The sequence below is a fragment of the Homo sapiens genome, chromosome 18 (assembly GCF_000001405.40).
Source record: "Homo sapiens chromosome 18, GRCh38.p14 Primary Assembly".
NCBI classification, from domain to species: domain Eukaryota; kingdom Metazoa; phylum Chordata; class Mammalia; order Primates; family Hominidae; genus Homo; species Homo sapiens.
The window spans coordinates 55,862,046-55,889,418 of record NC_000018.10 but is presented as its reverse complement, the minus strand read 5'-3'; the positions used below and the strand labels follow the sequence as shown (position 1 = coordinate 55,889,418).

At 36.4% G+C, this 27,373-nt stretch overlaps 2 long non-coding RNA genes across 3 annotated transcripts in view; one reads left to right on the top strand and one right to left on the bottom strand.

The window, feature by feature from the left end:
- LINC01416 (long intergenic non-protein coding RNA 1416) overlaps nucleotides 1-7,731 on the top strand; it is a 38,512-nt gene extending 30,781 nt beyond the window's left edge. The window contains exon 4 of the long non-coding RNA NR_110755.1: nucleotides 5,750-7,731. This is a non-coding gene — a long non-coding RNA (long intergenic non-protein coding RNA 1416). The remainder of the gene's footprint in view (nucleotides 1-5,749) is intronic.
- A 14,035-nt stretch (nucleotides 7,732-21,766) lies between these two features.
- Nucleotides 21,767-26,433, bottom strand: LOC105372131 (uncharacterized). 2 transcript variants are annotated; one of them, XR_002958213.2, is made up of 3 exons: nucleotides 26,106-26,433; nucleotides 23,688-23,835; nucleotides 21,767-23,556 (listed from the first exon to the last, which is right to left on the bottom strand). It is a non-coding gene; the product is annotated as an uncharacterized LOC105372131 (long non-coding RNA). The 2 variants fall into 2 exon arrangements; XR_935495.4 differs by lacking the exon at nucleotides 26,106-26,433 and adding an exon at nucleotides 25,886-26,067.
- Between the last annotated feature and the right edge of the window lie 940 nt (nucleotides 26,434-27,373).

Below are 27,373 nucleotides of genomic sequence, written 5' to 3'. Positions count from 1 at the left end.
GCAGGAGAAGGAAATAAAGGGTATTCAATTAGGAAAAGAGGAAGTCAAATTGTCCCTGTTTGCAGACGACATGATTGTATATCTAGAAAACCCCATTGTCTCAGCCCAAAATCTCCTTAAGCTGATAAGCAACTTCAGCAAAGTCTCAGGATACAAAATCAATGTACAAAAATCACAAGCATTCTTATACACCAACAACAGACAAACAGAGAGTCAAATCATGAGTGAAATCCCATTCACAATTGCTTCAAAGAGAATAAAATACCTAGGAATCCAACTTACAAGGGATGTGAAGGACCTCTTCAAGGAGAACTACAAACCACTGCTCAAGGAAATAAAAGAGGATACAAACAAATGGAAGAACATTCCATGCTCATGGGTAGGAAGAATCAATATCGTGAAAATGGCCATACTGCCCAAGGTAATTTACAGATTCAATGCCATCCCCATCAAGCTACCAATGCCTTTCTTCACAGAATTGGAAAAAACTACTTTAAAGTTCATATGGAACCAAAAAACAGCCCGCATCGCCAAGTCCATCCTAAGCCAAAAGAACAAAGCTGGAGGCATCACACTACCTGACTTCAAACTATAGTACAAGGCTACAGTAACCAAAACAGCATGGTACTGGTACCAAAACAGAGATATAGATCAATGGAACAGAACAGAACCCTCAGAAATAACGCCGCACATCTACAACTATCTGATCTTTGACAAACCTGAGAAAAACAAGCAATGGGGAAAGGATTCCCTATTTAATAAATGGTGCTGGGAAAACTGGCTAGCCATATGTAGAAAGCTGAAACTGGATCCCTTCCTTACACCTTATACAAAAATCAATTCAAGATGGATTAAAGACTTAAACGTTAGACCTAAAACCATAAAAACCCTACAAGAAAACCTAGGCAATACCATTCAGGACATAGGCATGGGCAAGGACTTCATGTCTAAAACACCAAAAGCAATGGCAACAAAAGACAAAATTGACAAATGGGATCTAATTAAACTAAAGAGCTTCTGTACAGCAAAAGAAACTACCATCAGAGTGAACAGGCAACCTACACAACGGGAGAAAATTTTCGCAACCTACTCATCTGACAAAGGGCTAATATCCAGAATCTACAATGAACTCAAACAAATTTACAAGAAAAAACAAACAACCCCATCAAAAAGTGGGCAAAGGACATGAACAGACACTTCTCAAAAGAAGACATTTATGCAGCCAAAAAACACATGAAAAAATGCTCATCATCACTGGCCATCAGAGAAATGCAAATCAAAACCACAATGAGATACCATCTCACACCAGTTAGAATGGCAATCATTAAAAAGTCAGGAAACAACAGGTGCTGGAGAGGATGTGGAGGAATAGGAACACTTTTACACTGTTGGTGGGACTGTAAACTAGTTCAACCATTGTGGAAGTCAGTGTGGCGATTCCTCAGGGATCTAGAACTAGAAATACCATTTGACCCAGCCATCCCATTACTGGGTATATACCCAAAGGACTATAAATCATGCTGCTATAAAGACACATGCACACACATGTTTATTGCGGCACTATTCACAATAGCAAAGACTTGGAACCAAGCCAAATGTCCAACAATGATAGACTGGATTAAGAAAATGTGGCACATATACACCATGGAATACTATGCAGTCATAAAAAATGATGAGTTCATGTCCTTTGTAGGGACATGGATGAAATTGGAAATCATCATTCTCAGTAAACTATTGCAAGAACTAAAAACCAAACACCACATATTCTCACTCATAGGTGGGAATTGAACAATGAGATCACATGGACACAGGAAGGGGAACATCACACTCTGGGGACTGTTGTGGGGTGGGGAGAGGGGGGAGGGATAGCATTGGGAGATATACCTAATGCTAGATGACGAGTTAGTGGGTGCAGCGCACCAGCGTGGCACATGTATACATATGTAACTAACCTGCACAATGTGCACATGTACCCTAAAACTTAAAGTATAATAATAAAAGAAAAAAAAATATTTATGTTACCTACAAAGCCAACATCCATGTACATTATTGCTATGTTTCAGGAGTCACTACAGTGTCATTTAACTCCTTGCTGCTCCTGGAAGCAAGAGTTTCCCTACGGACCCAATGTGACTTCGTCTAGTGCCGCTGCCACTTTTGCCAGATTATGTCTCTCAAACTTTCAGATGTTATAGGAGAAAGCTGCTTAATTTCTGAGCATCAATTTTCAAGAATTTTTTTTGAAGAGTGAGAAAAAATTCCGGAAGCATGATTTCTGAAATGCCCCAGAGACAGCTGAGATAATCCTGTCATCATTGAGCCTGAGTGATTCATCAATGATTCAAATGACCAATCAACCAAAAACAAAGAGGCAAAAGACTTTCATGATGTTCATTTGCTAGAATCAAGATCATCTAGAAAATAAATGACTGATGTAGAAAATGTAGGATACAGTTTCATAATTAGCCTTTAGGGGGAATAAAACCTACAGAAGTAACGCCTACCAGAAATAATCACTGTTGATCTTATTTATCATGTGTTTTACTAGGTAATGGAAAAATACATCTACTTATGGATTACCTAGTAGGTTAAACACTACAACCATTTTTTAAGTTACAAACTATTTTTTAAACTGAGAAACACTAGTAAAAACATAAAAAAAGCAAGCCACAGTCTGGGAGAAAAGATATATATCTTTGATAAGGAATTTATGTCCAGAATACATAAATAACTCCCATAAATTGATACTAAGAGGATAATCAGTAATAAAAATATAAAAAACAAATTTTTAAAGTGAACAAAATACATGAATAGGCACTTCACCAAAGAAGACATCTAAATGGTCCATAAAGACATGAAAAGACACTCCAAAGCACTAGTAATCAGCAAATTAAACTAGCGAATTAAAACCACAATGAGATGCTACTACACACGTAGTATAATGCCAAAAAGTAAAAAGTAAAAGCACAAAGTTCTGGTGTGCTTATCCTTGATGAGAGTGTAAAATGGTACCACCACTTTGGAAAATTGTGTGGCATTTCCTAATGCAGTTAAACTATTACATATGTTCCATCCTAGGTGTATACTGAGGATAAATAAATGCATATGTTAATAAAAGACTGCGGGAATAAGAATGTTCTAAGCAGCTGTGTTCATAATAGCCAAAAAGCAGAAATATCACAAATGTCTATCTGCAAGAGAGTACATATCAGTGGACATCTATGTTGTTGAATGTATCAATAGCACATTCCCTTTTATTGCTGAGTGTTAATCTACTGTGTGAATACAAGAAAAACTCCTCAACTTCCAAGTAGGTGCCAGAACCTGTATTAGTATCCTACAGCTACTACCACAATCTGTAACTTGCTTTTTCAATAAAATATGGTATTAACATCAATATTCTACATGACATAAAATTATTTGTGACATATATGAAAGACATATATGACATATAGGCCATTTTCATTATTTGCATTATTATAATGAATCAACAGACTTTGTTACATTTTACTAACTCAAATTCCAATGATCTCTGACCCAGGTAAGACACAGCAGAAGTCACAAAGCTAAAAACAATGAATGAGGTTGATTCTTTAATGATAATTTTTAATAATGAATATTCTGTAAAAAATTTGCAAATACCACAAACAAGAACCCTAAGGGCTTCCTTGACAATTAAGAACAGAGCTGCTTAAATGTCCCTACAAAGTCATGTCAGTTTGTATAACAGATGTCCACATTCTACCGAGGACAATATTTATATTCAGAGTATATTGTAAATAAGACTACTGTCCTCTTCAATATTCTCATTTAATTGTATTTACCTAGAAACTGATTAAAATAAATACTAAGAGAGCTTTAATTTATTTTTACTTTTCAGGTGGCAAGCGTGATGCAACTCAATAAATCACACTAGATAGAGTGCATTTTCCCACCAGAAACAGCCAATGTGCGGTTCAGTCACTGAAACATGGCAATTGGGAGGTTTTATGTAGGTTAATTTCAAATATACTTAACCCATTTCCTTCACTATTTTCTGCATTTGTTATCTGTGCTGTTTCATTTGAATTATAAAATTCATGAGTGCTAGGTTGTATTTTCTTTGTTACATTGGAAAAGAACTTGTCACATGAAATGAAAGCTCAATATGAACAATGATCATAACCTGTACATCATGAAAACTGCTTCAAGTGATCAATATAATATTCATTGATTAGGGTTGTTCTAGCCTACAAAACAGACTAAGTAGCCATTCATAAAGGAACTGTTAGGATTTTATTCTTTAGCAGTTTGGAAAACAATCTATGGTATAAATATGAATTCCCAAATACTTATAAGCAAAGCCTTGTTGTATAGCTAGCCCTTGGCATCCAAAACTGAAATGTTAGAAAGTCTTTCATCACGAAAAATCTCTATTGAAATGACCCATTACCAGGATTATAGGCTGTGGGGCTGTAAGTTAGCACCTCATGCTAACCCTTAAATTAACCTTTTAAGTTAACTCCTTATCTGACGTTTACAGTTTAGTAAATTACATCAATTAAATAATGGTGTCTATTACATTTTTACATGGTAAATGTTCACCATGGGCATTACAGCTTTGATGGAGAAAACAGTAGAGAGACGAAAAAAGTCAAAGGGGAAGTTTTGAACATGGAGTGAGTCTAGGTGCCCAGGTTTTGTGGAAGCCTCTGAGCAGAAAGGGAAGTGCTCAAGAGCTCAGTTCTGAAGGAAGAGCAGACACTGAGAGGGAAGTGAGGAATATCCCAGAGAAAGGATATCATCTTGGGAATATGTTCTAAGATGGAAAGACCAGAACAAACGACCCTGCACAGGGCACTAATTGCCTTTCACTTTTTTATGTACAGATTTTAAAAAATAGAAATAAATACTTGGGCTTATTGGAGAATAAAAAAGGTAAAAATATTTCTAGAGTTAATTGGACACTCTGGATAAAAAGCTTTAAAACTATGCATATATTTTGAGACAGAAATACAAATGTTAGGCAGGACTCAGTGGCTCACACCTGTAATTCCAGCACTTTGGGAGGTTGAGGTGGGCAGATCACCTGAGGTCAGGAGTTTGAGAGGAGCCTGGCCAACGTGGTGAAATCCCATCTCTACTAAAAATACAAAAATTAGCCAAGTGCGGTGGCGCGTGCCTGTGATCCCAGCTATTTGGGAGGCTGAAGCAGGAGAATCACTTGAACCTGGGAGGCAGAGGTTTCAGTGAGCCAAGATCGGGCCACTGCACTCCAGCCTGGGTGACAGAGTGAGACTCTGTCACAAAAATAAAATAAAAATAAAAATAAACAAACAAAAAAAGAAATATAAATGTTAGGATTTTTCTCCTGAGAAAATTATCAAGCAAATATGGCAAAGATGTATACCTGTGCAAAAAAAAAGGTGCAGTGTTATTTATAATATTAAAAAATTAAATCACCTAAATGTTTGTCATAGAGATTGATTGACTATATCATCAAATATCCATACAGTGAAATTCTTATATCCAGTAGAAAAATGAGTATATAGTGCTGTATTTTTTAACTTAGAAAATACATGTATGATATTTTCAGTGGAAAAAAAAGAATATTTACAAAGCAATGTGTAGAGAGTGGTAAAAGGTTTACATTAGTATAGAAAATAAAGCGCTTGAAAAATCTTCACCCATGTGTGGTTATCGCTGCAGTGGGATTATGACTAAGTTTATTTTATTTTTCGTATGCCTTGTATCCTTTGCTTCACAACAGGGGAAATACATTGAAGACAACATTAAGTGTTGGAACTAAATGCACAAGAATCAGGAGCATCTTAACGCCATGGCCTGAACATGATAGGTACTGAAGAACTATGGATTAATTATTTTTGATTGATTGATTGATTGAAAATGTGTCACTATAAAAAAGCAAATGTGAAGCTTACAGAGGGATAGTGGTGCAGTTAAATGCTAAAGTTAAATCTCCTTTTCTGGCAGCTGCAGAAAGATTCCTATTCTGCCTCCTATACTTGCTCTGAGGATATTTAAATTGTAGAGCTCTAAGTGGCTGCCCTCAATTTGCTTCAAAGATAATAACGTCACCTTACAGTTTATAAAGCACCTTGTTACATCCCTTTGGAGACCTACAGCAATCCCGTATGAATCTGGGGATTATTTATTCTTTTTTTCAAATAAGAAAACTGAAGCACAGAGGAAGGAGTTACACATTAAAAGCCAGGGAACTTGTACATTAGTTAAGGTAATGCTAGCAGCTATAACAAATAAATGCCCAAATCTCAGAACTTAATACAATAAATCTTACTTTTTGATTATCCTATGGCACCATACGGTGTTCTGGGTAGATGAAGAGTCTTCCACAAGGTATTTCAGGGATCTGTGGCTCTACCTTCCTCTAGTCTTCAAATCTTCTGCATCCAACAAGCAGATGGAGAATGAGGAATTGGAATAGGCATTCCTTAGTTTAAGCTCTTTGGTCCAGAACTGAAACACATAACATCTGCTGATATCCTATGACTAGAACATCACCTGGCCCTCATCTGGATACAAGACGATGGTACTGAGAAATAATTGCAGCCTGGGCAGATGCTTTTCAGTGCAATTCTATTCTAAAGAAAAGGCAGACTGAATGCTACATGCCAGTAAGTAGAATCTCCAGGACTCAAAAACAGACACATGACATTAAATGCAGTGCTCTTGCTACTACAACACACTGCCTCTGTATTCAGAGTTGCCTCAGCCTAGATCATAGTTTTGGAGTGAGTTAGAACCTGATCCTAACACTTGACAGTATTAAAAGGGGGACTGTCACCAGTGGGACGAACCCTTGAACTAAGCATGAGGAGAACCTGGCTTATGCCCTGGCTCTGCCCTATCTGACTGATTGAGTAAATCATGAAATCACTCTGCATTTCTTTTTTTCAAAGTCATTGATACAAACCTATACTTCTCAACTTTTCCCAATTAAGCTACTAGAATCTTACATTATTTTTCCCTAAGATGCTCAGACATTCCTATAATGTTATACGAGTCCGTGTTATAAGAGCCCCTCAACAATAAGCGGTAGCTGATGAAACCATATCAATACATAATTCTATACAAAGGTAAGAAACTGGAAACATTATTTGGCCTTCATAGACCTTGCTTGGATAACTGCTCAATTTCTATGAAGGTATCGGAATTATTGGGAGGTGAAATTGGCCACTCCCGTAACTATTTCTGCCGATCTCCAATTGGGAACCATAGAGCTTCATGACCTAAGGCTCCTACCAGTTACCATCTGAAAATGTCTTTTGTCTCTGTAATCTTGACAAGTGAATTCCAGTCACACCCATCCTAAGAAGAGTGTGCCTGGAAATACTGGTTTTCTTCTTCTCAAGCTGTCTGAATCCAGAAGTATATATTAATCTGGAAGTGGCTGGAGGTGATGGAAAAGAGAGGATGTTGAAAAAAGCACCCTTGGTGAAGTGGAGCAGCAACTCGCTCAGAAGCCTCATGAGTCTGTAACATCGTTTGAACTCCAAAGCTTTCTTCATCACTCATAAATCCATAATCATCACTCCACCTCGGAAAAATCTCACTCTGCTCTTCTCTATCTTCTACATGAAATGTATCAGGAAGAAAAATTAACATAAGGAACTTTCACCAGCTTTATAAAATCTTAACCCTTTTGTACACTTGTTTCTGATAATTTTAAGAACTAATATCAATAATCATTAAAACGTTGAACCGTGCCCAGATACTGTTCCTGTGTCTCATTTTCCTGTTTCCTTTCCCAGAGGTAATCCCTAAGCTAAATCTGAATCAACTGAAAATCTGGTAAACATCAGCTTGATGTTGATTATTTCCATGCATAAATGTTCATTAACAACATATAGCACGTTTTTTGCGTGGTGGCAAACTTCATATAAATGGCATCATACTGCATGTATTATCCTACACTTGTTTTCTTTATTGCTTAAAATGTTTTTAAATTTTAATGATTGAAAGCATAGTACTCTAACACATTCATTTTAAAAGCTATAAAGCCATCTTTTCTATAAATACACCAAATTTTAAAACCTGTTCTCCCTATGGAGAAGTGATATATCAATAAGAGATATAATATTGCATTAACATTATTATATGTTTTCTTGTACAAAAGTATGAGAGTTCCTGTGATACACATATGTAGAAATGAGTCAGGGATAGCATTCTCTTCTACTTGACTAGATACTGACACATTTTTCTCAAAAGTGATTTGGACAGTTCCTAAAAATTCCTGTTACTTCACTTATTTGCCAAACTCCTTTTTATTTATCTGATTGGTTTTGAGGCAGGAGGCAGGACTCAACTCTGGATCAGATTGAGGACTAGCTGAAACAGGGAAGAGGCACCTAAAGCACTTCTCCATAAGACACGACCACTAGAGCCATAACAATTTACCATTGCCATGGTGACACCTCAAAATTACCACCCTTTTCCATGGAGACAACCTGGAAATTACCATCCTTTTTCTAGAAATTTCTAAATAGCCTGCCCCTTAAAGTGAGAATAAATATGACTGCCGAACTTCCCCTGAGCCGCTGCTCTCAACACACTGCCTATGGGGCAGCCCTGCCTTGCAGGAGCAGTCACGGCGCTGTAACGCTGGTGCCTCAGTAAAGCTGTTTTCTTCTACCACCAGCTCACTCTTGAATTCTTTCCCCAGCGAAGCCAAAAACCAGCCCAGACTAAGCCCCAGTTTTGGAGCTTATCTACCCTGCATCAGTTTGAATTCGAATATCAATAATTCCTGGTATGATTAGGAAGCTTTCATGTATGTACTCGCCATTTGGGTTACCTATTCTGTGAATTTCTTGTTCATATCCTTAGCTCATTTTTACACTGGGTTTTCAAAAATAATTTATAGAATGTCATTATGTGTTCTGGATAGTAATCCTTAATTTGTTGTTGAGTTGAAAATATCTTTTCCTAATATCTATTTGTATGGCTTATGTTGTTGTTGTTATTTTTAACTTTACTTTTAATGTTTTTGTTTGTAATAATTTGATATTTTAGTACAGCAGAAGTCCTAAATCTTTTCCTATATGTTTTATGCTTTTTGCATGTTACTTAAGGAGGATAGTTTGCACTCACAAAGATATTTCCTATTTTTTTTTCTGAAAGCAGTAGTTTTCTTTAACATCTGAATATTTTATCTGCCCTGAAATTTATATGTATGCACTGGTGTAATGAAAAATATAATTTCATGGAAAAGCAATTGTTCGAGCCCTGTTCATTGAACTAGTAGAGCTAGTTCCTTTATTATTATTCAGAATTCATTCATTATTCTTGGCTGTTTGTTACAGTAATAGTTTTAGAGTCATCTGATAAGATTTTTTCAATTAAAATAGCATTCCATTTATAGATTAGTTGTGGAGATAGGAATTAATATCTTTATAGTATTAGCTTTTCTCATTTAGGATCTTGGTTTATCTTTTTATTCTGGCATTCTTTTGTCTTTCAATAATATTTGTAAGGCTCTCCACAAAGATATTACTGGTCTTTAGTTAAATTTATGTTTAGGTACCTTATAGCATTTGTCATTATTTGAAACAATGTTTAATTTTTAATTATATTGTAATTGAATATTTCATATGAAAGAGAAGCACTATTCAATTTTTGTTTATTGATGTTTTATCCAACAACCTTTCTGAATTCTCCTGTTCAAATAATTTTTCTGTATAGTTTCTTGGTTTGTGTGTGGTTTTTTTCTATAGAAGAGTTATGTTACCTAAAATAAGAACAATTTTCTATTCTTTTCTAATGTGTGCAATTGTTACTTCTTTTTCTTCTCTTACTGCACTAACTAGAACTACCAGTAAAATACTAAAGCATGTTGATGGTGGGTATTCTTGTCTTTTTGCTAACCAAAATGGAATGTTTCTCATGGCTCACAGATAAATGATGTTTGCTCGAGGCTTTTCAAAGTTCATCCTTTGGGTTTGGAAAATTTTCTTCTATTCCTAACTTGCTCTGAGTTTTGTATTTTGTTACTGTTCTAAAATTATGAATGAATGCAGAATCTTATCAATTTAGTTTGCGTCTCTTAAGATAATCACCTACTTTATCTCTGTTTGTCAGCTAATGTGAATTACTTTAGTACATTTTCTGGAGTTAAATTATCCTTAAATCCCTGAAGTAAATCACTTGTTTGTATGTTTTTTAAAAAATTCACCAGTAGAGGATAATTAGATATTATTTTATTTAGGATTTATGCAACTATGCTTGTATGACTAATCTATATTTCCTTCTTTTACTTTTCTTTTAAAAGTTTTGCCAGCGTTATAATTTTTCTTCCTTTTCTGTGCTCTGAAGTAGAGAAGACAAGACATGATACATTTGCTTCTTAAAGCTTTGATGCTGGGACCTGAGTTATTATTATGATCATTTAAACCACCAGTTATTTATTTGTAAATGTTATCACATTTATTGTGATATTTTTTATTTCAATAGCTATATTTTTTGCAACATCTCTATGTTTTTGCATATCTTCCTGTTCCTGTTTCAACTCTGCCTGACTTTGGTTCATGATCTTTTTCTTTTTAATGAATATAATATTTTCCTTGATCTCTTTGAACATTCTAAACATTTTCATCTAAGTCTCTTCCTAACTGCACCATTAAATTAACTCTTGTTCTGGTTGTTGATTTTGTTGATTATTTTGTTTAGCATTAGATTTCTTTTCTTGTTTTGGGTTTTTCTTTTTCCCCTGCAGAATTTGTTCTGTTCTCTCTCTGTTCCTATTTGTCTTTCTCTTTTTCTTCCTGGATTCCCCCTTCCCAGTCTTTAGCAGTGAAGACTGACACCCAGTCAACATCCAGCTCATATTAGAATGCATCCTTTCTCCTGCTCTACCATAATTTGAGAGATATAACAAATCAAATAATCAGATGGTTTGGCTCAGCTCCTTGTTGTGAGGCAGTGTTTTTGTCTGTTGTCTGCCTACGCCCACAGAGTCCTATAAAGCTATGACTTCAGACAGGGACTCAGCAGTAACTTTTTCCAACCTCATTTCAGGAAGTGGTAGGCTTACCTCAGTTCCTAGATTCAAGCTGTACATTTGCCTAAGTATGTCCTCTGTACATTTGGCTAAGTATGTCATCTGTATGTTTGGTACAGGATCCAAGCTGCCATTACCTGATTCCAGAGTTGGAATCTGGCAGAGCTGCATGTTCAGCCCTTATGACACTTTTTGATCCTGTTTTATCTGTGATTCACAGATATGTTTATCCCATTTTGGTGCCTACCTACATCATCTTGGTCATCTTTTTTTAAATTTCATCTGTAGCTTCCAGTTGTTTGAAAGAGAGGATTTTGTTAAAGCATAAATTCACTTACCAATTTTACACAGAATTGCAAAAAATTATTTCTAAAATTCATTTTTCATCTTTCCTAATGCTTGGTAAGAGCTATGCACACTATGGACCCTTATGAGTTCCTATGAGATGAATGGATGAATAAATGAGTGATGAAGGAAGGAATGAAATAACATGAATAATTAGAAGAGGAGAAAGACTATAAAATGCTTAATCAAATAAGCTTAAATGAGTAGAATAATTAATAATCACATAATTCAATGTTCCCAAAAGGTATACGCTTGTGACAATGTCCTATCAGGACTACAGTCTTATTTCTCTGTGATTCTCTTAACTCAGCCTTTCTCTGACCTGGAGCTGCAGGCTACCTACTAGCAGCAACTAAGACAATCTGCTTCTTCATTCACATTTAGTAAGAGAAAGAGAGAATGGCTTCCCACAACTCTCTCAAGATAGAGAAACAGCCTTACAAGCCTCCCATAACCCTCTAGCTGGGTTTTATTTGATAAAACCACATTACACATTCTCTCTCAAACAAAGGACTTGCAAGGGAGATGGAATTATTCTTATACCAGTCTGGCCCATCCTTTAATTAGAGGTCACTTCTCTAACCACATTGCTGCCTTTTACTGAGACAGAAGGTATGGAATGTATGCTGGAGAGTCAAACACAATATTCACTCCAGCAGTTAACCGACTTACCTTTTTTAATGCCAATATGTAAGTTATTGGATTGAATATGGAAAAAATGGTAGGTATAAGTTAGATGTTATTATCCAGACTATGTTAAGGAAATTTTTTAAAGTTTGGTCTATTCATGAAGTGATAATTGTGATGAGGGAGAATATTGCTTAAAATCATTCAAAATATTGTGTTCACTTGATGTATTTTTATTTTTGAAAAAAGCTCCTTTTCAAAGTTCTTAAGCAATCCTAAATAATCGTGTGAAGCAGACATTGTTACTACTATTCTCATTTTACAAACGAACACTGAACTTATCAAACAGTAGATGCCAAACATTTGAGGAAGATGAGTTTATGGAGACTGTGATCAAATGACATAACTGTTTGTCAAGTATTCACTTTCTTCTTGCACCTTCATGGAGGAATATAAGATTCTGCTACTTTGATGCTTGGCCATGTGACTCGATTTATCTAATGAGATGCTAGCAGACAAGAAATGAACAGATATTTGAAATACACTTGTGCAATTTGGCTTGTTCTTCTGCACTTCCACCATCACATGAAAGTGACATGCCCAAGCTGGCCCACAGGTGCCAGGAAAACAGAAAACACATGGAGCTGAGCTGGACTCACTTGCAGCTTGGTGCCAACATCTGTCGAGCCCAGCCTAAATCCACCAAGTCCCTGCAGTTTGACCAAATTCAGGTGCGTGAACAAGAGGAAATGATTGTTCTCTTAAGCTGCTAAGTTTTGGGGTGGTTCGTTAGGCAGTATTACTGGGGTAATAGCTAAGTGATGCAGAGAGGAAGAGAAAATGGAAAGCCAACAGGTCATTTTTAAAAAGAAGTAAATAAGCACAAGTAAATATTTTGATTGCTCAATATCACTCCGAAAATGGGAGAGCCAAATTCAAATCAAATTCCTCTGCCTCCACATGTTTTGGCTTTTCTAAGACATGGATTGGCTCTCTACAGTAGTAGCAATGTTGCAAGCAGTTTCACTATTTGTCTGTGGCACTGTAATTTCAGTGAGTAATTCTCTCACTCATATTATCACATGGATTGTTATTATTTACTCCATTATACTGGTTTTTATCAATGAGGAGATATAGTTATTAAATATGAGAAAAATGGCTAATAACTAACCACCATTTTAAAAACTTCTTTTGTGCCATAACACATCCACCACATTTATATAGAGCTGCTCTGTTCAATATGGCAGTAGTAATCAAATGTGACCATTTTAATTTAAATAAAATTAAAATTAAAATTCAGCTCCCCATTCACAGTAGCCACGTCTCAAGGATATAGCAGCTATATATTGCTAGTGGCTACCATATTGGACAGCACCAATATAGAATATTTCCATCATTACAGAAAGTTCTTTTGGACAGCACTGTTATAGAGAATATGCAAAAAGTAACACCCTCTTTTCAATTATGTCTAGTTGACTCATTTATAGAGCTTTGGGATACTTTCGACATGCTGTGCTTTACCGGGAATCCCTTGCTAAATAAATCTCTCTTGAATTAGGACATGGGGAGCCATACAATTCTGTCAGCAAAGCTGGCTGGTGACGTTAAAGAAAATGTGTAAAGGTAGTCCTGACCTCTGGCCCCCGATTCAGCTGGAGCTTACAGGATAAAAGAGCTTCTGTCTCCATCTGAAAGCATCTGGAGCATGCTCAGCAGTCATGCAGCTGTGCTTACCTCCAACTTGCTGCCAAGCTCAGAAGGGAACAAAATCAATTAAAGGGATAGATCACAGTGTTTACCAAGGAGGAAAACCCCCACATCTGGAACAGTGAGAAGAGTGGGCTGGTGATGAAAAAACACTGGGCATTGAGAAAATTACAAGTCTTGGTCCAGATCAGCCTCTATCTAGAGAAGTCATTTTCACTCTTTGAATTTTGTATTCCTGTCTGTAAGATAAGCTGAGCACATTTCCATACTGCCAAATGCCATCCGGCAGAATTTCCAGGCTTATCAAGCTATGATAATCCCCACCCTTCCCTTCAATGTCATCAGAGAGCTCTGTTCCATCTACAGGCTAACAGACAATGTTCAATTGCCCTTTGTAGAAATCTGACATTAGACATGTGCTAGAATGCCTCCTTCGGGAATAGTAAAAAATAAGTGAGCTTCTATGTAAAAGCACTTGGGGGTCTTGCATCTTGAGAAGGAGCTACCCATCTCACAATGCAGATTCTCAGCCTCAGAAAAAGGCTAAACATTTAAAGATTGAGTATTTAAAACATTATAGTTGCACTAGCAACTTTTTAAATGCTTGAAATACAAAAATGAATACATGCCTGGTGTGAGCAGTGTTTTACAATTTCTCTTCCAAATGAAAGAGACCCCCTGTTTCTTTTCATTTGGTGGCTTGGTTTATACTTTCATTTTTACAGTCCAGACAACCAGCAAAGTAAAATTCAAGCCTACTTTTGTTCTTTACAAAAGGAGCTTGTTTTAAAATAAAAAGGTTAATAAAAAAATGAATAAAAGAGCTTCTTTGACCTTTTCTGAAAGGTAGATTATTACCATGGAGAATGAAGTAATCACTTATTCCATAAGTATTTTATTCCACCTGAGTTTCCAAACTTAAATAAAACTACCAGCACTAAAGGTCTTATTATACTTACCAATATAGAGACCATTCAATTCCAAACTGTCCTAAATTCTAAAAAAGAATTTAGAAGTTAAAAAAATCAAACTTATTCCCCCTCGTTACTCAAAATATTTTATTTAAGAAAACAATAACACAGATAAGTCACTAAAATCTACCTGATGATTCAAATCTGATGAGTCAATGCTTCATCAATTATAAGCACATGATTAACTGATAATTGTTGATTAGCATTTTCTGAAATTATTTATTTATTTATCCTAGGAATACAATTCTCATTAAGGTATATTATATACCCAAAAGGTGTGGTTGAATTCATCACAAGGCAATTAACTACTGTGTAGAAAGCAATATAAGAAGACACTACTAGCTCAAAGAGATATACATAAACATAATGATGTCATGGTTCCTGTTTTCTAGAAGTAGTGATTTGGTAGGGTTGAAAATACAAGCTACTCACCATAGGTCTAGGTACAGTGAAATAGAGGTATATACAAAAATCCAAATGAAATGCAATACATTCTGACCACTTGGATCACAGAAGACTTGGCAGAGAATGGAGCACTAAAGTCAAACCTAAAACAACAGGGGTCCCTAATCCCCGGGCCATGGACAGTACCTGTCTGTGGCCCGTTAGGAACCAGGCTGCATAGCAGGAGGTGAGTGGCGGGCAAGTGAGCATTACTGCCTGAGCTCTGCCTCCAGTCAGATCAGTGGTGACATTAGATTATCATAGAAGCATTATTGTGAACTGTGCATGTGAGGAATGTAGGTTGTGCACTCCTTATGACAGTCTAATGCCTAATGATCTGAGATGGAACAGTTTCATCCTGAAACCATCCCCACCCAGCAGGTCCATGGAAAAATTGTCTTTCATGAAACCAGTCCCTGATGCCAAAATGATTGGAGACCACTGCTTTAAAGGATAGGCGGAAAGTGAGGAAGAGTGTTCCAGTCTACAAGAAGGAAGTATAATTGCATTTTCATGGAGGTGAAGTTAGCCAAGAGAATGAGCATAAGCCATGTGGTGGAGACCAGAGGAGATGAAGCCAGAAGGGAACATTGAAAGCAGATGATTGAGAGCACTGAATGACACCTTAAGGGATTTGAATTTTACTTGTAGATCAGAAGTTTACTTTGTGAGTAGTCAATCCCCCACCTAGAGATTTCTAAGCAGGGGATTGACATATTCTTATCAGCATATTAGGAAGTTCATCCTGACAGCCCATGACAGCTGGAATCAAAGAGACCTTTTGGGAAAATGTTTTGTGGTCCAGAGATGGTCCAGGCATGATGTGGGGCAGGATGCGCAGGAGACAGATATGTACATTTCAGATACACAACCATGGAAATGGCTTTGAGACAGAAGGCAAAGCTACATTTGTAGCCTTGATGAATGAGAGGAAGATGACCTTCTAAAGCAAATCAATTTTGCCTCTGTTATGCCTTTGTTTCAAATGTTATTTATTTATGGATGGGCTAAGATCCCCTAAAGATACAGTGTTAACATATGTATCTATATTAACATATTTATATGTCATGCTCTGTTATTTATCTATCACTTGATCCTAGTAGAAAGCATAAATCCAAAAGTAGGTAAGTCTTCAATAGCAGATACTCATTCATGCATTTATGTGATCAACAAACCTTAGGTGAGCACCTCATTAGGAAATAGGTTGTGAATAACATACACATAAACAGCTGTTGCAAAAACCCCAATTTTTTTATGTTCAGGAGGAAAAAAATGCTTCTGTAAGAAGGATCAAGAAAACATCTTTGGAGGTGCTTATAATTAAAGTAGGCCTGGGAGAATGGGAAGGATTTAGATAGAGATGGGTTGAGAGAAAAAGGAAGAGGGTAGGTAAATTAGATGTGCCTGACAAAGGGCAGGGAGTCTAGGTTTGCTGTAGGATTCATAAAGAGAATTAGTGAAAGCTGAGGTATGAAGAGTAAGCTGGGAACTGATTTTGGAACACCTTGAAAATTAGGACTTTAGAAGACAACAGTCACTGCTGAGGATTTTAACCAGGGGCTTGACTTGCCTAAAATATTATTCAAAAACAATACTGGAGTCAAATTTTTACATATTCTAGAAAGCTAATCTTCACTTATTTTATGTTTTAAGCCTATCATAAAACACAAGGAAAATTTTCTCTCTCTAATTTGAGTAATAATTAGCATATGGAGAATGAAAGTGTTTGGGGTGTCATCAATTCTAGGTTCATCTCTGCCATAGAAACATCATCATGCTGTTAGGAATAAAGGGCAAATGAAAATATATTACCAAGAAATTAACTACAGTTTTCAATGCTTCTGTGAAATGGCCAAATTTTATTTAACAAAGGAAATGTTCATAGTTCTTACTGTTAATTTGTTTTCATTCATCCAGAACATTTAAATTCTTTCTTTTTTCTTTTTAAAAATTGTTTTATTTTTAACGTTTGTGGGTACATAGTAGTTGTCTATATTTATGAAGTACATGAGATGTTTTGATACCAGAAAGCAATATGAAATAAGCATATCATGGAGAATGGGGTATCCATCCCCTTAGCCATTTATCCTTTCAGTTACAAACAATCCAATTACACTCTTTAAGTTTTTTTAAATGTACAATTCAGTTATTATTGACTATAGTCACCCTATTGTGCTATCATATAGTAGGTCTTACTCATTCTAGCTAATTTTTTGTATCCATTAACCATCTCCACCTTCCTCCCAGCCCCCCACTATCCTTCGCAGCCTCTGGTAACCATGCTTCTACTCTCTCCATCCTTTAAACTCTTCCTTAATTCAAAAGAAGTAAATAAAAATATCTGGTCTGAAAGCCAAGTCCTACAATTTCATAACTGATCGTGCCTAAAAATTGTTATGGCTGAGCAATAAATCCCTGAAAAGTGATGCTTATATTCATAATGGAAATGTCACCAGAGCCTTAAATATAGCAGCTCAACTTATCTTTACTACAGTGCAGCAAACTCAAATTTGTAATTGATTTTGACTTGTACCTGCTACCATGTGTGTTGAGTTTGGGAGTGCTGGACAGCATTTTTTAAAAATTTGAAATCTTAATTTTAGTCTAATGAAATTAATCTGTAAATCAATTCTCTCCACTTATATTTTTACATACCTATCTTTCTCTTCTAAGAGCAGACGAATTTATTCTTGGACTATTTTATTGGCAAATAATGAATTTCAGTAGTTGTTAAAATAGTTCTTAGAACTCTTTCATCTTCCATCTGCTCTTAAATGGAGAGAGGTTAAAAATGGAGAAATCTGGTCTGGCGCAGCAGTAGCTCACGCCTGTAATCCCAGCACTTTGGGAGGCCGAGGCAGGCGGGTCACCTGAGGTCAGGAGTTTAAGACCAGCATGGCCAACATAGTGAAACCCCATCTCAACTAAAAATACCAAAATTATCCAGGCATGGTGGTGGGTGCCTGTAATCCCAGCTATTCGGGAGACTGATGCAGGAAAATCATTTGAACCCAGGAGGCGGAAGTTGCGGTGAGCCAAGATCGCATCATTGCACTCCAGCCTGAGTTTTGACAGGAGCGAAACTCAGTCTCAAAAAATAAAAAAAATAAAAAAAAATAAGAGAGATCTCCAAGTGAAATTTTTCATTTATACAGAACTGAACTTCTGATTAAGAAGGCACTGATCGACATTCTACAGCTGTTATGAAACTACATGACAACATTATTTATCAAAGTGATTTGATGGTAACTGTGGTCTCTGTTATGGTATAGGAGTTAGCAAGCCAAATAGATACACGTACTTAATGACTTTAGCATCCACCACTCAAAATCCAGTTAATTGTTTGTTGTTGGAGCCATGTAAAGCAGCAGTACAAGCTGTCTGTGCAGAATACAATAACTGTATGCAGCAGTATGGATTCAAAGTTTCAAAAATTAATTTACAAATGGGTTTCAGAGATTCCACCAGATGGGAGAGAAACAGAGTTATGTTTAACCCTTGAGCTGGCAGTCTACTTTAGGAACATTGCCAGCTATAAAAAATAATAATCAGAGGCCCATGAACTGCTCTTTTTAAACGGTTACATTAAAACCCAGACACCTGTAGTTTTACTAGTTGCTAAAACGGCTTGTAATTGCACATGCATGAAACAGATGTGTAACCAGAGCTGTATAACTGGTTTCCATTATACAAACACAGGTGAATGAATGGCGGGCAGAAGGGGGAATGGAAAACTGAGATTTGTATCCGCGAAAATCTAACATCGGAGATTCATATGAAACTTTGAAAACATTTTTTGCTAAATATATTGGCCTGTCTCTCAACTGCTTTTAAATCATGGATATTTACATTTCCCAAAATAATCTGCTTAAATTTGGACAAGATAATAATGACTAATCCCCATCCCCTAAGACACGTGTTCTTCACTAGTCTTACTGAAACGGCTGCCAATGCTATGCAGGAAACTTTTTAACCGACTTGAACATTTTAGGGTTTTTTTTTTTTTTTTTTTGAGAGTTTTGTTAGGAAAACAACATAGCTTAAGAGTCATAAAAAATCAATATTCAAGGATGTTTCCAGAACTTTAGTCTTTCAAAAACTATGAACCAAGGAGTCATTTCTAGTGTCCTGGAGTTTGGTTGTTATAAAATTTACAGTATGGTGTGTCAGTTCATTTGGGACTGAGTCACACAGCCCAGGACGCGGTGCACTGAGGAAGTCATGTGAACCATTGCACAAATACATTTTTGTCAGTGTTTGGTTTGAGAGCTGGGACTCAGCAGAACTTTGGGGGATTGAATTTTAATTCAAATGTTCCAAAATTCTGGTTTACAACAACATCTGGGACTTGAAGAATGGATCACTTATTTTGAAATTCCTTAGAAAGGAAAAATGAAATGCAGACAATTATAACATTCAACAAGAATTGTCCTTCCAGAAATCCTCATCCCACCTGGGACGGAACCTTTAAGCCAATGCTTCCTTTCAGATGTCTTAGCAAAAGGACTGCAAACAGAATGAATGAGTTGGAGCAAACAGGGATCTATGTGAAAATCTTTCTGAATTGAGAAGGAAAACAGGATATGTGTTCATGCTCCCATAACTCATCAGGAAAACTCATTCCAAGTCATTCCCAGGGATGATCAGCTCCCCCAGAAGACCTTATCTGTCCACATTTTTTCCATTCTGAAAACATACTTTTAAAAAATTAAAAGTCGTTCTTGGAATGAAAATGCAGCCTCTTGCAGAATGTGAATTAAAGACATTTTGACCTGTAGGTGCACATAGTATTTTTAAAGGGCTACATGGCTGTTCATTCTGCAGCCCCAGCAGTTCTCTGAATTCAAATAATTCCTCAGAGACTACAGCTCTAGTCGTGATGAGGAAAGTGAGGTGTAGAAAGCACCTGCTAAGTCTTCAAACTACAGCCAAAAAACAGCAAATGGAATCAACAGGGCAAAGCTGTTTGGACATATTGCAAAGTCATTTTGGATATTCCCACTATATCTGTTAAATATTCATGTATATTCTGACAACTATGCCCTTGTTCCAGGAGCTTGAAGTTATTGGGTCTTTAAGTTAGGCTCAGAGTATAAACTGAGCACTCCTTGAAGTGTATTAATTCTTTCAGACTAGTGGTATACCATTCACTGCATAAATGTTCCATGCTGAATTGGTGAGTCAGGGCACCAAAACATTCAGCCCGCCCATATTTTAAGACTGTGTATACATTCTGGTTCATATGACAACATAAGGTGGTAGTGTTCCAATCTGGCTGTGCATTGGAATGACCAGTAGGGCTTTATTAAAATGCAGGAGTCTGATTCCACTCCTAGATTTTCACACAGTTGGTCAGAGTTCCTTTCATCTGAATATTTTCTAAAATATAAACCCACTGATAATTTTTATTATGTTACCAGGACTAGAAAATACTGATGAAGAATGAAATGTTTATTAAAACTCTGCCCAGGCACACTTGCAAAGTAAAACTAACAAACCCATGAAAATGCAGGATAATTGAGCTCATTGCAGTTATGTAGGTCTGGTATGTTAAAACATGTGCAGGAGTTGAGGGACTACAAAAATCAGGGAACACAGGAGGCAGTGTAGGGATGGTTTCTTAAGTTCGTTTGTGCCAGTGGCTCTTTTCCTGTCCCACAAATAATACTGTGATGGCCAGAAGTTACAAAGACTATGATGGCAGCTGGCTGTCAGCAACGTTAATGGGAAGGATTTCCCTTTAATTGTCCAGAGGCTCATTTCTAACATCTATAGTAAAAACTGGGAGATAGCACTCAACAAAGTCATCCAACAGAGGTACCTCCAAAATGGATACAACTGTTGCCAAAATAGACCCAGATAAGGCACTTCTCCCAAAACAATCACAAAATCAAGGTTATCCAAATTGAAAGTATTACTTCCCTTTTATCATCATGGACACAGATGTCCATTTTAAGTCTGTATCAAGGATCAAAAGAAACCCCAAAATACCTGACTTTAAGAGGAAAAATTGAACTTATCCTTATAATGCTCTTTCTGTGTAAGGTATGAGTTGAAAGTGTTTCATGAAGGATTTCTTTCTTGAGTTTGTACTAGTAACCAGTTATGAAGCCCTTGTCCTCCATTCTAAAGTTTTGAGCAAGAAACTTTTCATAGCTTCTTAGTAGTGAATAAAGAAATCCAGGTTATATCTACACCAGGGACCAAAAGTTTCATACAGCAAAGAAAACATTCAGATATCTGGTTTACAGATGCAAGCATCCCCATCACTGACTGGTTTTTTACCTTTTCATCAGATACTCTGATACTTTATAAAACATCAATTTTATAACTTCAGTAAAATCACTTAATCATGACTTTTTAAACCCAATTAAAAAAGAGAAAGAGAATACATATAAAACATCTTGAAAATCAAATATTTCAATGCTACACAACTCAAATTATTTTTCATCTTTTCCCTTTTTTCCATTAAGGATAGAATAAAAAATGTGTGCTTCTAATTTGTGCTTTGTTTTTTACTAATACAAAATATTTATGTCCAAGTCCAATTGTTTCAAAATCCTTTGTGTCTATGATAACAACTTTCATTTCAAAACTGGAGTTTATAATATTTAATTACTGTTAGAATGGAATTATAGGCTGTTGCAGTCTTTCATTTGTTCTTATAAACATATGTACTTTTTATTTGTATTACATATTTCCCATATCTTCCAGAGAACACAGTGCTGTTGAAGCAGCTTCCTTCAATCAGGTGGTATGGTGAGGAATATCTTTCAACAAATTCGGTAAATGCAAGGAAAAATAAATGAAAGAAAAAAAGAATCTCTGTTTGATCACAAGTGCTTTACCTTTGAGAATTACTCTCTGGCCTTATAACGTGACCCATTCTATATGTAGCTGCTTTTTTGTTATTGTCTCACCCTGAAATCATTTTAAAATGCCAGTATCCCTAATAATTTAATGCAGCTGTTAAGACATCCTCTTTCTTTTGATCATTGTTATTAATGATGTGCCATAATACACACAAGGTTAGCAATCCTAGCTACTCTTCCTTACACAGACCATTGTGTACTCGCTGCGAGACCCTGTCCTCCTGCCCTGTTCCTCCAGCCTCAGCCAGCATCAGCCTCTCGCAACCTTTGAGGAGGCTCATCTGCGGATGAAAGCTCATTTCAGAGTTATTAGTCCAGGACTTGGGAACTATGTGGGCCGTTCTTCTGTGGTATACACAGTCGGAAAAGAAATTGTTCTTCACTATTCTCCAGAGAAGCAGCTTGGCCTGAATTTTAGTCTTCTGTTTGCTGTGGAATTGTTTATGGCAGAATCTTAATGCTACCTTTTGGTAACTGTTATTCCCCTCGATGTTTTGAAATTGTTGCTTCATAAATGTATTTTCCTTCCCAAAGTCAAAATCAATTGGTAGAACCCTTACGGTTCTAAAAGAAAAAGAAAAAGGTATTAACCATAAATAAAATGAGATAATACAGGGTTGGAGATAAAATGTTTGATTATAAGCAACTTTGTGGGAAAAAAAGTACTATACAGATTTGTATATGATACTAGGAAATCAGCATCACCTCTAACACTTTATTCCTCCCTATATTTTTCAAATTTGCAAAAAAGTTTGAAATCCATAACCACTTTTGTGATTTTAATACCTCCTTCAGCAGATGCTCACTCAAGAGGGCTTCTTTGATTTCTAAAGTTTTGGTTTCTTTTGTTGTTGTTGTTCTTTTTAAAACAAACAAAAAAATCTGTTCTTTGAACGAATCGAGTTTTTTAATAGGTCAATATAGAAAAGAATTGTATCTTGGGGAATACAATTGTTGACATTGCAGTTACTTGAAAGTTTACAAACATATTTATATGGTTTTCATTTGAAGGTTTCTTCTTGACTTTTAGTTGATTATTTGATTTAGTGCACTCAAATGATCTTTGGCAAAGGCTTGTTTTTTGGGAAGACTTTCTGAATGAGCTAAAAGGCTGTATACTCCACAGTGAATTCTGATGAGGAATATACTAAAGAATTTTAGGCTCTGAAATAAGAAAGTTCTTGGAATTGTTTTTTCCGGTAAAAAACAGTCCAAAAATTGTGTCATGTTTTAATCGAAAAGCATTTAGATAAACGACATAAGGTAAACGTCTCTGTAGCAGCCAAAACATTATCTTAGTTCTTGATTTACGAAATATTAATGTCATTTTTGTGGCAGGAAACCTTTTTTGCTTTAAGCATCTCTTTAGAAAAAGAAAGTCAGAAAACAGAAAATGTTAACTGCGTTGTGGAAGGGTTTTTAACGGAGCATATCAGCCAGGTCTTTGAACTTCTGTTTCTGCCATAAGTCAGACCAGGACACGGAGGTAGGTTGGCGAGGCTTTGGAAACTGTGCAGAAGGTCACTGCTGATCTCGTTCCTTTATGGCATTCTTTATTTAACGATGACATTAACTGCAGGCAAATTGCATGAAGATAAATAAGTTCATAAAGGAAACTAAGGGAAGGGAAGGGGTATGAATGAAGCTAAGATTTTCAGGAGAATGATAATCAGAGGGAGATGGTAATGGGATCAGAACAGAGACCTGCAATTAGAAAACCTTCTCTCCTTCTTCTTATTTTAATGTGGACGTTTCAACTGGTCTCATTTCCTTAACACTGAGAATAGGTATAACGATCAGAGGAATATCAGATGATATAGTGAGTGATTTCTGGCCTTGACTTCCACAGTTGCTGTCATGAGAAATAAGAAAAGGAAACCAATGTATTATCTAGGAGCATTTTTTGTCAAAGAATAACTGGCATTATTGGTGATATTTACTATTGAATAAAGTTATTTTAAAAATATTTCTGACTGAAAGAGTAAAAACATGAAAGAGATTCTTTCCAAGTACTTTGTAATTCCTTAAAAAGAAGTCACCCCACTTCATAATCATGGAAGTCCTATATCAACAATGCTTAGCTCCAGGAGTCACAACCCAGGTGAGGTCAATTTTCCATCCCAATACTAAATAAAGTAAGCAGGAAAATGAACATTTCACGTTAAGATCGAGAGTAGCTTCCCAAAGTAGAAATGAGTTACCAGCTTCAAGCACGTGGCAAATCACGGCAAAACCTTAGGATTGCATATCAAGATTAACCCTGAGTCTGGCTGTAGGCAATTTTATTCTGATATTCCTCCACCCTGCTGTCTCACTCCTGAAGTCAGTAGCTCACACATACACACACTTAGAGACACACAGTCACACACACGTGTGTGTATAGGTATGTTCATATAAATGTATATGTTTAGGTATACATACACGCTGTGGATATAAAAGTGTTACTTGCATTTAATTTAAATAATAATGCCCCTGGCATTCTTTCCTGGGGTTTGTTGACTGGCTAATAGCAAATAAGGGGCTTTGCATGATTAATTTCAGGATTTTATGAATCTCTAGGATATACTTTTCCCTGAGATTTTCACTACCATTATTAACAAAAATGTAAAGTTCAACATCTTCGAGTCCAAAGGGCACAGATTAGTTTTATAAGAAGTATAGTTTCAAATGGGTCCCTTCCAACCTCTTGATGACTCTTTCCAATGAAATGGCATAGATTCCCTCTCAGGAGATGAATCTATTTGTAATTATTGTTACTACATATTTTTCTTGAAGTGCTATGAATCAATCTAGTGAGCAAAGCCTTACATGTAAAAGTTTCCTCTTCTCCATTTTCTTCTCCAAGTTCCCAAAGCAAAGGAATGGCACATGAATGAAAAAAAAATATTTCATGCTGCAATTTTTTTTAAATTGCTATATGGGCAAAACAGGTGCCGAAATGTGAAACCCTTTGGAGGAATTTTCTCAGTAGAACAAATGAGTACTAACACTACCTTAAAATGAAGCTGGCTTTAATGTGGAATGTCATACAAATGCAGTGCCTATTGACAGATTATCCATAGATGACTGTCCCAAAAAGACCAAAAAAAAAAAAAAAAAAGTATACTGTCACTTTAAGAAAAAATAAACTAAAATATGAACTACCAAAAACCCTGCCATTTCCAGCCTGGGCTTGATTAATGATTTTTCTATCTAATAAAAGGTTCACAAACCATCTGTTTTTCTCCCTAATGCCTTGCCCAAAGGTTTTTCGTTCCTATTTCAGGCTCGGGGCCAACTGACATTCCACTCTTTTTTTTTTCCCAGCCTTGTAAACAAACCCTTCTCTCTTTTTAATCTTCCAGTGCTGTTTCCTACCCATCGTTATGCATATTCATTGCGAGTAAACATTTTTAGTGTCTACACTTAATCTCTTCCACTGGCAATTACTGTTCTATGCTGTTTTGTAATGCAGAAGGGCCAACGCTTTCCGTTCTAATAACAGCTGGGCCGCAGATGGGGCCTGCAGTCATTGTAGAAAATAAAAATTTACAAGATGCCAGTGGAATTTATTTCAGTTTTATGGAGTCACAGGAGGAACCTTTCTGTTATCCGCCTTCAGTGAAATCTGCAGGCACAAGGCAAGCTTTTGACATTTAATCAAAGGGGGGTTCAGGTAGGGTCTGGAACAACGCAAGGAAGAAAGCAGGTGGATCGTATTAGGCAGTGCCATGGTTAATTTATTTAGAAGTGATTGGCTTAGATGTGTGCAGCCAATATTTGACATCATGTATATATCTTGTTTAGCATCCTGCCTCTAAATTGTTACCACTGGAGAGACAGTGAGCTGTCACTGTGGACCGAACCAGGTGTTTGGTGGGGTTGCTACTTAGAGGTGCTGATGCAGATGGCACTGTACTCACCAAAGACGAAGCTTTTTGTGTGGTTTCTAAAAGTTGATTCATTTTTACTTCACTGCATCGTTCTCTGAACTACTGTAAGTGCCTCTTCAGCAGAACCCCAGAGCTTGCGGATGGGCTTTTGAATATGGGCTGCAACCTTTAATTTAACAATGTGGTTTAACTGGAAATTTTCTGTTATACGACTCGAGTACGTGAAAATGGATTTATTTGCGAAGCTTACATTTCCGATGTGCGCTGTTACGCTGATCCAGGGTGGGATTAGGACGGTGCCGTGACATACTGAGCCGCCCGAGCTTGGTGGTTAAGAGCTAACTACGACTCCCGAAATGAAAGATAAATGGTCACACACACACTATAAAACTGCAACCCAATTTAGATACGACGCCGTTTCTGGAAGGATTCACTGTGGTTCTTGAACCCATCCTGCTTGATCCTCCACTCTGTAATCCTTCCTTACCCCCACACCTTTCCCCCCAAGTGCGGAAAGGGAATGCAGGAAACCCACCCAAGGACATCCCATAATTAATTAAGTAAATGCACATGGCTTTCTAGACTGGATGAAACCTATGCCAAAGGTGCTTATGTTTTCACATTTGGGGCCCTCTTTTGCCACACACCTTCAGCCGGTTGCCTAGCAACCAGGAGAAACCCACTGAGCATGCTCACTGAGGAGCCTAATTGCTATCACAATTTACTTTTGTTGTTGTTTTTTTAAAGCCCATTAACCAAAACAGGATGCTTTCCTTTTTGAAGGACAAGTAAGGTCTGCATGAATTTCAAAGGCAAGAGAGTATATTTCGATACCAAAACAATTCAATGCAATCCCAGGTATGCAGGCGGGTACAGATAACAAACATAAAAATTGGAGCAGATTGACATTAAATAACGTATAAATTCCCATTTATTCAGATTTTTATAGACTCATTTCTTTTATTCTCTTTATCTTTTCTGATTGTGGCTTTCTTTTTTCTCTAAGAAAGTCATTAAGAGGGAAAAGTGGAATTTAATGTCATATGATCAAGTACATTAAGAAACTTTATTAAAGAATTTACATTGATAGATAGCATTTTTTCTTCCATCCTTCCTTACCTTCCTTTCTTTCTTCCTTTTTTTTTCTTTTTGAAAAATTTCCTGGTGGTTCCAAGTCTGTGGCTACGATTTAACTCAATCTTTTCACAAAGGGCAAGAAATAATTTTGTGTATCTCAGAGAGAAAGGCAGTTTTTCCCTAACTTCAAGAAAAAACACATTTTATGTTAGGTTAATCTGATCTATTCATTTGTTGAAATCTTATTACAGTTGCATGATTTTTTCCAATTTCTAGGTTGGTATATAAAATAAAATATGCTTGGAACACCATCTATTTAACTACTTTCATTACTAAACAGAATGCCCTTTCACAGGAAATGTTATGCATGGTTCAAAACTACATCACGGCGTTTCCCTATTTCTTTTCAAATTTTCTAACTCATTTGGGAAAATTAACTCT